The sequence below is a fragment of the Homo sapiens genome, chromosome 2 (genome assembly GCF_000001405.40).
Source record: "Homo sapiens chromosome 2, GRCh38.p14 Primary Assembly".
NCBI lineage: Eukaryota > Metazoa > Chordata > Mammalia > Primates > Hominidae > Homo > Homo sapiens.
The window spans coordinates 39,230,810-39,244,360 of NC_000002.12; the positions used below are offsets into that span (position 1 = coordinate 39,230,810).

The 13,551-nt window shown below is 39.3% G+C and overlaps 1 protein-coding gene across 12 annotated transcripts in view; it reads right to left on the minus strand.

The window, feature by feature from the left end:
* The window catches only part of CDKL4 (cyclin dependent kinase like 4), a 79,150-nt gene that overhangs the window by 62,839 nt on the left and 2,760 nt on the right, over positions 1 to 13,551 (minus strand). For 4 of the 12 annotated variants that reach the window (NR_144521.2, XR_007073748.1, NM_001397900.1 and 1 more), the window contains exon 1: positions 13,062 to 13,161. The exons of 7 other annotated variants lie outside the window; for them this stretch is intronic. The gene's annotated coding sequence lies outside the window, so the exon portion shown is untranslated. One more of the 12 variants, XM_017003982.2, reaches the window with a different exon arrangement.

The following is a 13,551-nucleotide window of genomic DNA, read 5'->3' on the forward strand; positions in this document are numbered from 1 at the left end:
GAAAAGACACAGTGAAGGTAATACAGAATTAGAACCCACGGAGTGAGATTTCAAAGAACACAATTTTAATCACTACATTACACAGCCTCTCAGTTAAGTGCAAAAGAATGCATAATTCAGCCAGGCATAGTGGCTCACACTTGTAATCCCAGAACTCTGGGAGGTCGAGGCAGGTGGATCACCTGAGGTCAGGAGTTCGAGACCAGCCTGGCCAACATGGTGAAACCCTGTCTCTACTAAAAACACCAAAAAATTACCCGGGTGTGGTGGCACAGGCCTGTAATCCCAGCTACTTAGGAGGCTGAGGCAGGAGAATCTCTTGAACCCTGGAGGTGGAGGTTGCAGTGAGCTGAGATCGCACCACTGCACTCCAGCCTGGGAGACAGAGCAAGGCTCCATCTCAAAAACAAAAACAAACAAACAAACAAACAAACAAAAAGAATGTATAATTCGAAGAACCACTTTATCCAGGTCTTGGTATTAACAAAATGTCAAGTGAAAAAGTTGACTACTTGTAAATTTCTCTTGTTTCAAATGAGTACACATTTTTTAAAACTTCTCTAATAATATTGTCTTTTCCAACTACAGATTATCTCAATGGTGAAAGAAATAATCTACTTCCACTTGCCACCATAAAAATATACAATGGAGAAAAATGTTTACCTGGATATAATGACTACTGACATACTATTTTTTACAGTGCTGCTTTTTTGAGGGGGAATGAATTCGATTTCCTCTCTTATTAAAGAAAGAAAATTCAAGCATACACACTCAAGTAACACATGGAAAATCCATCACAGATTATGTTCTGAAAGCCCTATTAGTTATACTGTATTTTTACCTATGTATTATTATTTTAAAGATATTTAGATGTGAGCATGCATACATTTGCATAGTAATAGATGGCTGGAAAGAGAGTAGGAGAAACTGGGAATTTGCTTTAGAAAGTTATTGGCATCTGGCTGGGAGCATTGGCTCATGCCTGTAATCCCAACACTTTTGGAGGCTGAGGTGGGAAGATCACTTGAGCCCAGGAGTTTGAGGTTACAGTGAACTATGATTGTACCACTGTATTACTTCCTGGGTGACAGAGTGAGACCCTGTCTCTAAAATAAAATGAGATAAAGTTATTGGTATAAAACTTTATAGATTTGTTAATTTAACCTACTTGATAAGTACTACAGTCATTGGGGGAAACTATAAATATGACAAGAAGCTTAATTATGAAGTTTTAATGTATGCATTATTTTATTATTTCCCTCTAGGTAGTTGATTTGATCTATTGATGTATGTTTTTTCTTTTTTCTCAACAGATTCAGTAACGACTGATTCCTCAGACTAATATTTAGATCTCATAATCACATCAACCAAACTGCTAAATACAATAAAATAAAGCTCCAGGAAATAGTACTTCACCTAGTAACCACTCAATATTTCTGTTTTCAAAAGCCCTACTATATGTTCATGGAAAATGAGTCTGAGTATGCAAGCAGGAATTAGACCAATGCCTGTAAATTCCTTTGTGGAATTTACAGCTCTAATTCCAGCTTACTAGGATTATAACAGAGTTTCTGGAGGCAGTAATTCCTACTCTCTTATTTGAGATCCAGACCAACTATCCAACTGCTTGATGAGTATCTCTACATGAATGGACAGAATCATCTAAAAATTGGAACATTCTAAACCAAATGCCTTCTCTTCTTTCTTATCCTCTGTCCATACCCAATGTTCACAAACATGCTCCACGTTATGCCTAAATGGCTTGTCAAGGTACATGTGGTGGGGGGCTTTGAGGTAGCCAAGGACAGTGACTGCTGCCTAAACCTAATCTCCTCATACATCTTCCACAAAGCAATACAAATCAACCAGGACAAATAAAACCACATAAATCCAGTGCCTTCAATATAACAAGAAGACACAGGACTCTACAAACTTAGGTAGAAAAGCAAAGCCTAGCTGGGCGTGGTGGCTCACTCCTGTAATCCCGGCACTTTGGGAGGCTGAGGCGGGCGGATCACGAGGTCAGGGGATCGAGACCATCCTGGCTAACACGATGAAATCCCATCTCTACTAAAAATACAAAAAATTAGCCAGGCATGGTGGCACGCGCCTGTAGTCCCAGCTACTCAGGAGGCTGAGACAAGAGAATTGCTTGAACCCAGGAGGCGGAGGTTGCAGTGAGCCGAGATCGTACCACTGCACTCCAGCCTGGGTGACAGAGTGAGACTCCATCTCAAAAAAAAAAAAAAAAAAAGAAAGAAAGAAAGAAAAAGAAAAGAAAAGCCTAAATTCTGGAGGGGTTATCTCTTGAGCTCCCACTGTAAACCTTGGCAGAACGCAAAGATATGAGAGGGGTGAGATCTAAAAAGCTTTAAGAAAGACAGAAGAGTAAAAGAAGGGCCTAAGAAAGACTTAAGATCACCTCCTTCCCAAAGAGAAAACACATCACAAGTGTAAAAATACCCTAAGTGTGTCCTGGTAGATCAGAACACTCACTACAAGGAAGGGGTGTAAAAGTAACATGGGTCTCAAGGTGGCACTAGTCAGTGTGGCACCATTTTTGGGGAATAAAAGGACAAGAGGGAAGGGAAAGACATCTGTTGGAGACTGGACAGTGAAGGGAAAAAGAAGCGAGAAGGATACATTTGGCATCTTGCAAGACAAAAGAGAATTCTGAATTGAAGGGCATGCGAATCCTCCCATCACCACTAAGACAGGGAAAAAGTGTCATCAATGAAAGAAACTGCATTTTACTACAGTGACAGAAAACACTCTCTTGGCCTAGGATGATAGTCAGTTACTAACAGCCAAAACCTGCCCAAGAAATGAAACAAGGGAAAGCCGTCCCCATACATGCTATTATTGTCAGAAAAAAGAAATGAGAACCCAAAAATTTCAGTTAATGAAAATCATTTACAAAAAAAAACACACAAAATCTAACCATGAAGCAAAAGAAAACTAACACAAACACTTCAAACTGATTTAAATATCCTCTCATAATTTGGAGATACGAAAAAGCCACAATGAATCAGATATTCAAATCACAAGTGGACAAAAATTATTTAAGAAGATATATATATATATATATAAATTTTATTTTTACTTTTTTTTTTTTTTTTTTTGAGACAGAGTCTCGTTCTGTCACCCAGGCTGGAGTGCAGTGGCACGATCTCGGCTCACTGCAACCTCTGCCTCCCGGGTTCAAGCGATTCTCCTGCCTCCGCCTCCTGAATAGCTGGGACTACAGGCGTGTGCCACCACTCCCGGCTAATTTTTGTATTTTTTAGTACAGGTGGGGTTTCACTGTGTTAGCCAGGACGGTCTCGATCTCCTGACCTCATGATCCACCTGCCTTGGCCTCCCAAAGTGCTAGGACTACAGGCGTGAGCCACTGCACCCGGCCTATATTTTCACTTTTTTCTTTTGGCTATTGATGTGTAGATTTGGATAAAAAGATATAAAAAGATAGTTGATTGAACTCAGAAAAGAATAATCAGAAAAAGACAAAATCATCTCAGAAATGACTAAATTATGAGATGCTGATAGGAGAATAGATTCAAGTGAAAATTTGATTGGGGCATTAAAGAAAGGCAGAACAGTAATTATGAGAATTAAAATGAAGAAAAAAAGGTAAAAGTTTAGACAGAAAGTTGAAATGGAGACAGGAAAAGAAGTCCGAACGTATGTACAACTGGAGTCCCTGAAGAAGACAAAACAATGAAACAGAATCAATAGTTGAAATAATAATCCAATAAAATTTTCTGGAAATAAAATAAAATCTAATTATATCTATTGAAAAGGCCCATTAGGTAGTTGGGAAAACTGACCCAGAACAACGAACTCCAAGACATATTTGAATAAAACAATCAAAGATAAAGAGAATACTCTCTGAGCCTCCAGACAAAAAGATTAAATAAGTGTGAGAGGATTAGAGTGACATCAGACTTATCAAGAGCAATATACATTACAAAGTAACAGTGCAGCAGCATCTTAAACTCAAGGGAAAATGAAAATCAAGGATTTTATATTCAGCCAAGGTGTGTCCTTCAAGTGCAAAGCTATAGATAAACATTTAAAAAAAATTTTTTTTTTTTTTTGAGACAGGTTCTTGCTCTGTTGCTCAATCTAAAGTGCAGTGGTGCAATCATGACTCACTGCAGCCTTGACTTCCCAAGCTCAAGCAATCCTCTCACCTTAGCCTCCCAAGTAGCTGGGACCACACCTGGTTAATATTATTTATTTATTTTTGTAAAGATGGGGTCTTGGTTTGCTGCCCAGGGCTGGTCTCAAACTCCTGGGCTAAATCGATTTTCCCACCTTGGCCTCCCAAAATGTTGGGATTATAGGCATGAGCCTCCACACCCAGCTGATATTTTAAAACATGCAAGAACTCAAGGAATACTGTACCCCATAGTCCTCTTGAATGTATTGGTGAAAGGCCTTCATCCAATCAAGAGTTGACTGGAAAAATTTCAGCAAAAGGATTTATGGTGAGCATTTAATATACTTAAAGATCAAAGTAAAGGTAGAAACAAGAGTGGAAGAATAAGAAAAAAATATTATAAATTCTGACAAAGTAGAAAGTAATGCAACTAAATTATGTTAAAAGAATGAAGAGGGAAAGAAAGATGAACAAGCTTATTGATAATCAAATGGGCAATAGGTGGGAGTAAAAAATGCCATTAATCTACTTAGGAGGCTGAGGCCTGAGGATTGATTGAGCTCAGGAGTTCAAGACCAGCCTGGGCAATACAGTGAGACCCTATCTCTACAAAAAGATTTTAAAAACTATCTGGGTGTGGTGGTACATGCCAGTATTCCTAGCTACTCAGGAAGCTGAGGCAGAAGGATGGTTTGAGCCTGGGAGTTCAAGGTTATAGTACTGTAGAACTATGATCATGCCACTGCACTCCAGCTTGTAGACAGAGTGAGACCTTGTATTGAAACAACAACCACAACAACAACCACAATAACAAACACCCCACAATTGCTATAATATTACCTAGAATGTTAAGTTTTCAACAAAAAAATTAGGAGATAAAACTGGATTTTAGGAGGAAGTAGGAAAGAAGAAGAAAGAAAAAAAAATATGAGACATGCTAAAAAAAAGGAAAGTGTGACTGATACTCAGAAAAAATAAAGTCAATAAAAATGGATTCTGAGTAGACTCAGATGTTGGATTTAGCTGACAGTCTTCAAAGCAGCTGTTATAAATATGTTCAAATAATTAAAGCAAATTATAATTTAAAGAATTAAAGAACAATATGAGGACAATGACTCAATGAAGAGGGAATTTCAATCAGAAAATGAAAATAAAAAAAAGAACCAAATGGAAATTTTAGAGTAAAAAAAAAAAAAAAAACCAGAAATGAAAAATCCTGTAGATGGGACAAACAGCAGATCTGAGATGACAGAAGAAAGAATCAGTAAAATAGACCAATAAAAAGCAGTCAAAATGAAAGAAGAAAAACAAGATGAACAGAGCCTCAGAGACCGATGGAGGCAAAATCAATACTACCAATATACATGTAATGAGATTCCCAGAAAGAGAGGAGTAAGTGGAAATGGCAGAAAAACAATATTTTATGAAACAATGGCCAAAACCTTCCAAATTTAATGGAAAACATTAATATACAGGTCTTAAAAGTTCAATGAATTCCAAATAGGATAAACACAAAGAAATCCATGCCTTGATATATCATAGCCAAACTCCTGAAAGCTAAAGACAACATCTTGAAAAGAGAGAACCATTCGTATACAAGGGAACAACAATATGCTTAATGGCTGACTCTTCATCAGAAAAACAATAGAAAACAATAAACAAAAACTGGTTCTTTGAAAAGATCAACAAAAGTGAAGCTCTAGCTAGAGTAGGCAAGAAAAAAGAAAGAAAGAAAAGTTATCAAAATTAGGACCATACTACAGAAATTAAAAAAAATGACAATATTCCAAACAAGTTTACGCAACAAAATTAGTCAAGTTGGTTGGACAAGTGCCTAGAAAGATACAAAATACCAAAATGGACTCCAGAAGAAATAGAAATCTGATTACAACCATAACAAGTAAATAAATTCAATCAGTAATTAAAAATCTGCCCACAAGGAAAGGCCCAGGATCAGATAGCATCACAGGTAAATACTACCAAACATTACCTAAGAAAAATTAGTATCAATCCTTTGCAAACTATTTGAAAACATAGAAGAGGAGGGAACATGTCTCAACTCATTCTATGTGGCCAATATCACCCTGATAGAAGTCAAAGTCAGACAAAGAAATCAGATGAAAGTCAGACAAAGAAATCACAAGAACACAGATTATTCTCATGAATGTAGACACAAGAATCCTTAACAAAATAATTAGCAAACCAAATCTGGAAACATAAAATAGATTATATACCGTGACTCTGTGGGACTTATCTCAGGAATGCAAAGTGGATTTAATACTGAAAATCAATAATGTAAAATACCATATTAATAGAATAAAAGAAAAACATCACATGATCACCTTAGTACACACAAAAAAGGAATCTGACAAAAGCCAACACTCATTCATGATGAATACAAGGGGACTTCCTCAAGGGCATCTGTGAAAAATCTACAGTTAACATCATGCTTAATGATGAAAGATTGAATGTGTTACCCCTAAGACTGGAAAAAAGATGTTTGCTTTCACTATTTTTATTTATCATTGTATTGAAAGTTCTTGTCAGTGCAATAAGGCAAGAAAAAGAAATTAAAGGCATATACATTGAAAACGAAAAGTAAGGTCAGGCACAGTGGCTCACACCTCTAACCCCAATAGTTTGGGAGGCCAAGGTGGGAGGATTGCTTGAGGCCAAAATTTTGAGAGCAGCCTGAGTAACACAGCAAGAACCCCATCTCTATAAAATAAATAGTTATTAAATGAAGTGCTCAATATATATGAATATTTTTTTAAAAAAGAAAATAAAAAGTAAAACTGTCATTATTCAGAAATGACATGATACTATCTACAGAAAATCGTAATGAATCTATAAAAAGTCTACTAGAAATAATCACCAAGTTTGCAGTGAAGTAGGATACAAGATCAATATGCAAAATAAATCATCTTTTTATATAATGGCAACAAACAATTTGAAAATAAAGTTAAGAAAACAATTCCATCCAAATTAATGTAAAAATGAATAAAATACTCAGGAATACATTTAACAACTGAAGTGCAAGACCTGCATACTGAAAATTACAAAATACCATTGAAAGAAATTAAAGATCTAAATAAAAGGAGAAAAATGCCATGTTCATGGATTTGAAAACCCAGCAAGATATCAGCTTTTCATAAATTCATCTATAAACTAATTCCTGGCCAGGAGTGGTGGCACATGCCTGTAATCCCAGCTCTTTGGGAGGCTGAGGCAGAAGGATTACTTGAGCCGAAAAGTTTGAGACAAGCCCGGTCAACATAGTGAGACCCTATCTCTAAAAAAATAAAAAATAATTAGCCAGGGTCTAGTGGCCCTCGCCTGTGGTCTCAGCTGCTTGGGATGTTGAGGCGGGAGGATCACCTGAGCCCAGGAGTTTGAGGCTACATTGAGTTATGATTATGCCACTGCACTCTAGCCTAGGCAATGCAGCAAGACCCTGTCTCTAAAAAGCCAAAATGAACAAAATTAAACAAAATTAATTCCTTATACAAATTCCAACAGGCTTTATTTGGACAGAAATTGAAACTAAGATTTATACGGAAATGCATACGACCCAGAATAGCCAAATCAACTTTGAAAAAGAACAAATTTAGAATATTTATATTAAAAATTTATCTTAAATTTGACTTAAAATTTTACTATAAAGTTATGGTAAATCAAGACTGTGGTACCAGCATAAAGACATATATCAATGAAACATAATAATGAGTCAAGAAATAAACCCTTCTATTTATGGTCAATTGACTTTTAAAATTTTATTTTATTTTTATTTTATTGTTTAAGATAGAGTCTCACTCTGTCACCCAGGCTGGAGTGCAGTGGTGTAATCTTGGCTCACTGCAACCTCCGTCTCCTGGGTTCAAGTGATTCTCCTGCCTCAGTCTCCCAAGTAGCTGGGATTACAGGCATGTGCCACCATGCCCAGCTAATTTTTGTATTTTCAGTAAAGATGGGGTTTCACCATGTTGGCCAGGCTGATCTTGAACTCCTGACCTCAAGTGATCTGCCTGCTGTGGCCTCCAAAAGTGTTGGGATTACAAGAGTGAGCCACTGCGCCTGGCCCAACTGACTTTTGACAAAGTTGCTGCAGCAATTCGACAAGGAAAGAATAGTCTTTTCAACAAATGATACTAGGACCATTGGATATCCATATGCAAAACAAACAACAAACACACACAGTAGACAGACACCTCACACAATATAGCAAAATTAACTCAAAATGGACAAAGACCAAAATGTAAGCATTAAAACTGTATAACTTCTAGAAAAAAAAAAAGAGGAGAAAAATCTTTGTGACTTTCAGTTATGCAGATTTCTTAGATATGACACCATAAGCATGATTCATAAAAGAAAAAATAGATAAAATGGAATTTATCAACATTAAAATCTTTTGCTCCTCAAAAAATTTCCCCATTAAGAAAATGAAAAGCTAAGCCACAGACTAAAGAAAAATATTAGCAAATCTTATATCTGATAAAATATTTGTATCCAGAATACATAGAGAGCATGCTTACAACTCAATAGGAGGTTAAACAACCCAATTTAAAAATGGACAAAAGATGTGAATAGACATTTTACCAAAGATACACAAATGTCTACTAAGCACATGAAAGGATGCTGTTAGCCATTAGGGAAGTGTTAATTAAAATTGCAATAAGATAGCATTACATACACATTAGAATGACTAAAATCCAAAGACTGACAATATCAAGTGTTGATAAGATGGAAACTGGAACTCACACAAATCACTGGTGAGGATGTAAAGCAGCACAGCTCCATTGGAAAACAGTTTGGCAATGTCTTAAAAGTTAAACATAGGGCCAGGCATGGTGGCTCACGCCTGTAATCCCAACACTTTGGGAGGCTGAGGCAGGTGGATCACTTGAGCTCAGGAGTTCAAGACCAGCCTGGCCAACATGGTGAAACCCTGTCTCTACTAAAAATACAAAAAGTAGCCAGGCATGGTGGCGCACACTTGTAATCCCAGCTACTTGGGAGGCTGAGGCAGGAGAATTGCTTGAACCTGGGAGGCGGAGGTTGCAGTGAGCTGAGATTGTGCCACTGCACTCCAGCCTGGGTGACAGAGTGAGACTCTGTCTCAAAAAAAAGTTAAACACAAATTTAACTTAAAAATTAACCGCCAGGCGTGGTGGCTCACGCCTGTAATCCCAGCACTTTGGGAGGCCGAGACAGGCGAATCACCTGAGGTCAGGAGTTCGAGACCAGCCTGGCCAACATGGTGACACCCCGTCTCTACTTAAAATAAAATAAAATAAAATAAAATAAATCAGCTGGGTGTGGTGGTATGCACCTGTAATCCCAGGTACTCGGGAGGCAGGAGAATTGCTTGAACCCAGGAGGCAGAGGTTGCAGTGAGCCGAGATTGTGCCATTGCACTCCAGACTAGGGGACAAGAGCGAGACTTCGTCTCAAAAAAAAAAAAAAAAAATTAACCATAAACAGCAATTTCACTCCTCAGTATCTATCCAGGAAAAATTTTAAAATAGATCTAACAATGACATGTAAGCAAATGTTCACAGCACCATTATTCAGAAGAGGTCCCTATATGGAAAACAATCCAAATGTTCATCAACTGATGAATGTGTAAACAAAATGTGGATTATCCATGCAACGAAATACTATTCAGCAACAAAAAGGAATGAACTTGCTATAATGTAGATGAACATTAAAAAAAAAAAAAAAAAAGAAAAAAGAACCACATGCCCCAAAACATAATGCTAAGTGAGAGAAGACAGACACAAAATCCTACATATTTTATAATTCCATTACAGGAAATTTCTAGAAAAGACAAATGTGCAAGTGAGAAGGGCACATCTCCTCTGTGGTATTCTTGGCAAAAATGCAAAATCTAAATCTAATTATGAGTTAACAATAGACATGGCCAAACTGAAGGGCATTCTACGAATAACCGGCCTGTACTCTTAATAAAGAATGTCAACGTCATGAAAGAAAAGATCAAAGCACTGTTCCAGATTGAAGACTAGAGAGATGGAAAAACAAAATGCGACGTGTGATCCTGAACTGGATCCTGGACTGGTGAACAACATGACCATAAAGGATACTTCTAAGATAATTGGCAAAATCTAAATTTCGACTGCAGATTTGATATCAGTTTCCTGATTTTGGTAATTTGTACTGTGATTATATAAGAAAATGTCCTAGTTCTTGGGAATACACTGAAGTATTTACGGGTGAAGGGATCTGATGTCTGCAACTTACTCTCAAATGGTACAGAAAAATTAATATGCATGTGTTATATACACACTAAAAAGAAAACGATAAACAACATAAAAATTGAGCAAAACGTAAACAGTGAGTCCAGATATATGAGTTTATTACACTCTTATTGCCAGCTTGAAATTATTATATCAAAGTAGTTATTTTAAAGTGTGTTATCTCACTTTTCTTCTTTATATTTACTTTTATTACACCAAAGACATCTTTCTCAAACATCAACAGGATGAGATATCATCCTTTCTCAGAAATGTCTTATGGCCTCAAATGCCACAGAATAAAGTTCAAACTGTAGTATGATATTTACAGTTCTGTACGCCGTGGCCCCAATTTACCTTGCCAGCATCACTTCTCAGATTCTTCCCCAAACACTTTCAGGTCTCTAAGTCTCCCTTCATACCCCTGCCTGGAATGTCTGACCCTTAAATCTTCATCTTTTTCAAGTTCAAGTCAAATGTCTTTCTGCTTAGCTTCTCCCAATCCCCAAAAGCAGGTTCTTTCTCTGCTCGCATGCTATGTTAACGACTTCCTTTCACCCTTTCAAAAACATTATCACATTGCCTTCTATTGTTAGCCTATTGTCTGGCACATAGTGGACCTCCGCTGTGGCCCTACCGTAATGTTATTTTTCTAACCTTTCTATTAAATATGTAAAATGACTTACTTTTTAAAGCAAAGGCAATAAGTACATTTTGATTATTAATACAGTACTTGGACAAGAAATCAAGATTAAATGGTGATATAGCTATTGGCAGAAAGTAGATTCAGTTGGTTGAAAATAGTTTTCTTTTTCTTTTTCCTTTTTTTTTTTTTTTAACTGAGACAGGGTCTCGCTCTGTCACTCAGGCTGGAGTGCAGTGGCACGATCAGGGCTCACTGCAGCCTGTACCTGCTGGGCTTGAGCAATTCTCCTGCCTCAGCCTCTTGAGTAGCTGAGACTACAGGCATGTGCCACCATGCCTAGCTAATGTTTGTATTTTTTGTAGAGGTGGGGTCTCATTATGTGGCCTAGGCTGATCCTGAATTCCTGGGATCAAGTGATTCTCCCATTTTGGCCTCCCAAAGTGCAGCAGTTACTGGCATGAGCCACCCATGCCTGGCGAAATTATTTTTCATAGTCATCTTTGACCTTCAAACTGAAGCTTTATACTTTTTGGCTACAGGGCTTCCTGACTTCAGAATTTACCAAATATTTGACTCTCAAGTTAAAGTTCTGTGTACAAAGGCAGATAGGTATAGAACTGAGCCCACTTATGATTATCAAAAGAGGTAGATAGATACTTGAGTGGCTCACTAAATTCTTTGAAAATTTCTATTTAATTTCCTTAGTCTCAAGGGTTTGCAAAATGATGTACACAGAAACAGAATAGACTTGGAGGTAGGTTATTTTCCATGATTGTATCACAAATCAAGTCCTGAGAACTCAAGCCAGCCTAAGGAATACAATGAAAGAAGGAAAACAAAAATCAAGAAAGGGAGAGGTAGAAAAAAAGAAGAGTGAAAAAACACATTTTCTAATCTAGGAGCTTTAGGAAACTCATGTAAACAGTGGCATTAGGAATGATGCGGATGGCCGGGCGTGGTGGCTCACACCTGTAATCCCAGCACTTTGGGAGGTTGAGGCGGGTGGAGCACTTGAAGCCAGGAGTTGGAGACCAGCCTGGCCAATGTGGTGAAACCCCATTTCTTCTAAAAATACAAAAAAAGTTGCTGGGCGTGGTGTCCTGCCTCTGTAGTCCCAGCTACTTGTGGGGCTGAGGCAAGAGGATCGCTGAACCTGGGAGGTCAAGGTTGCTGAACCTGGGAGGTCAGCGAGCCAAGGTGGCGCCACCGCCCCCAAGCCTGGGGAACAAAGTGAGACCCTGTCTCAAAAAAAAAAAAAAAAAAAAAAAAAAAAAAAAAAAAAAGGAATGACGAGGAAAAAGAGATTTTGAAGATCAGGCCATATCAGTTAGGGAATCCACAGGCTGGTAAAGTCACAACCTCCTATGTTGTTATTGTTTTCAACCAAACCAAACATGAATTTATATTTAATAAAACTAATTAGTCAAATGGGCCATTAAATCATTGTTTTATCAACATAACAGTGAATTATTGAATTTCAAAAGTACACACACCTGTTTATAAACCTGTCCAGTTGACAATACAATCAGACTAATTAAAAGCATCCCCAGAAAACCAGAATACCACATAATTATACAAAATCCGATAAAGTAATTTTGTTTAAATATATCACATTTCGTGTGTGCACATAACAGATCTGCAAGTCAAGCACAAATCCACTTTATTTCCAGGCCTCTGGTCTTCAGCCTTCTTCATTTAATGACAGTTCTCTTTCTCGGCCATAGGTAGGCCTCCGCCTTGCGCGCTCCTCGGCCCCCGCCGCCGCCCACTCCCTGGGCAGCACCATTTCCGCCCCGAGGGACCCTCACCGGGTCAGTGCTGCCACCTCGAATCCGCCCCTTCCCTTCCAGGGGCCACCGAAGCGGAAGGCGGTCCCGCTTTTCTTTCGGGGAACTTTTCTTGGTTCCTGCAACTGGGATCCGCAGTCTAGACCTCGCGGCTCACCCCATCAACCCCGCACGCTGCCCGCAGTTCCCCCGCCACCGGCAGAATCCGCACTTACTGCACCCACAGGGCGACGGTGACGAAGCTTCGAGCAGCGCCGAACAGCCCCAGCCCCAGCTCCCGCGCGTGTCGCTCGGAGGAGGCGCCGTGTACCCAGCGACTTCGGAGCCAGCGGAACCGCCGCAGCGTCTCCCGGGCAACCGGAACGCTAGGGCGCGCGGGGCACTGCGGCTTCCGGAGCGGGTTCCCCTGGCGCTGGCAGCCCCAGCCCTGATCCTTCTGAGAGGTGACAGCGTGCTGGCAGTCCTCACAGCCCTCGCTCGGTCTCGACGCCTCCTATGCCTGGGCTCCCACTTTGGCGGCACTTGAGGAGCCCTTCAGCCCACCGCTGCACTGTGGGAGCCCCTTTCTGGGCTGGCCAAGGCCGGAGCCCACTCCCTCAGCTTGCAGGGAGCTGTGGAGGGAGAGGCGCGAGCGGGAACCGGGGCTGCGCACGGCGCTTGCGGGCCAGCTGGAGTTCCGGGTGGGCGTGGGCTTGGCGGGCCCCG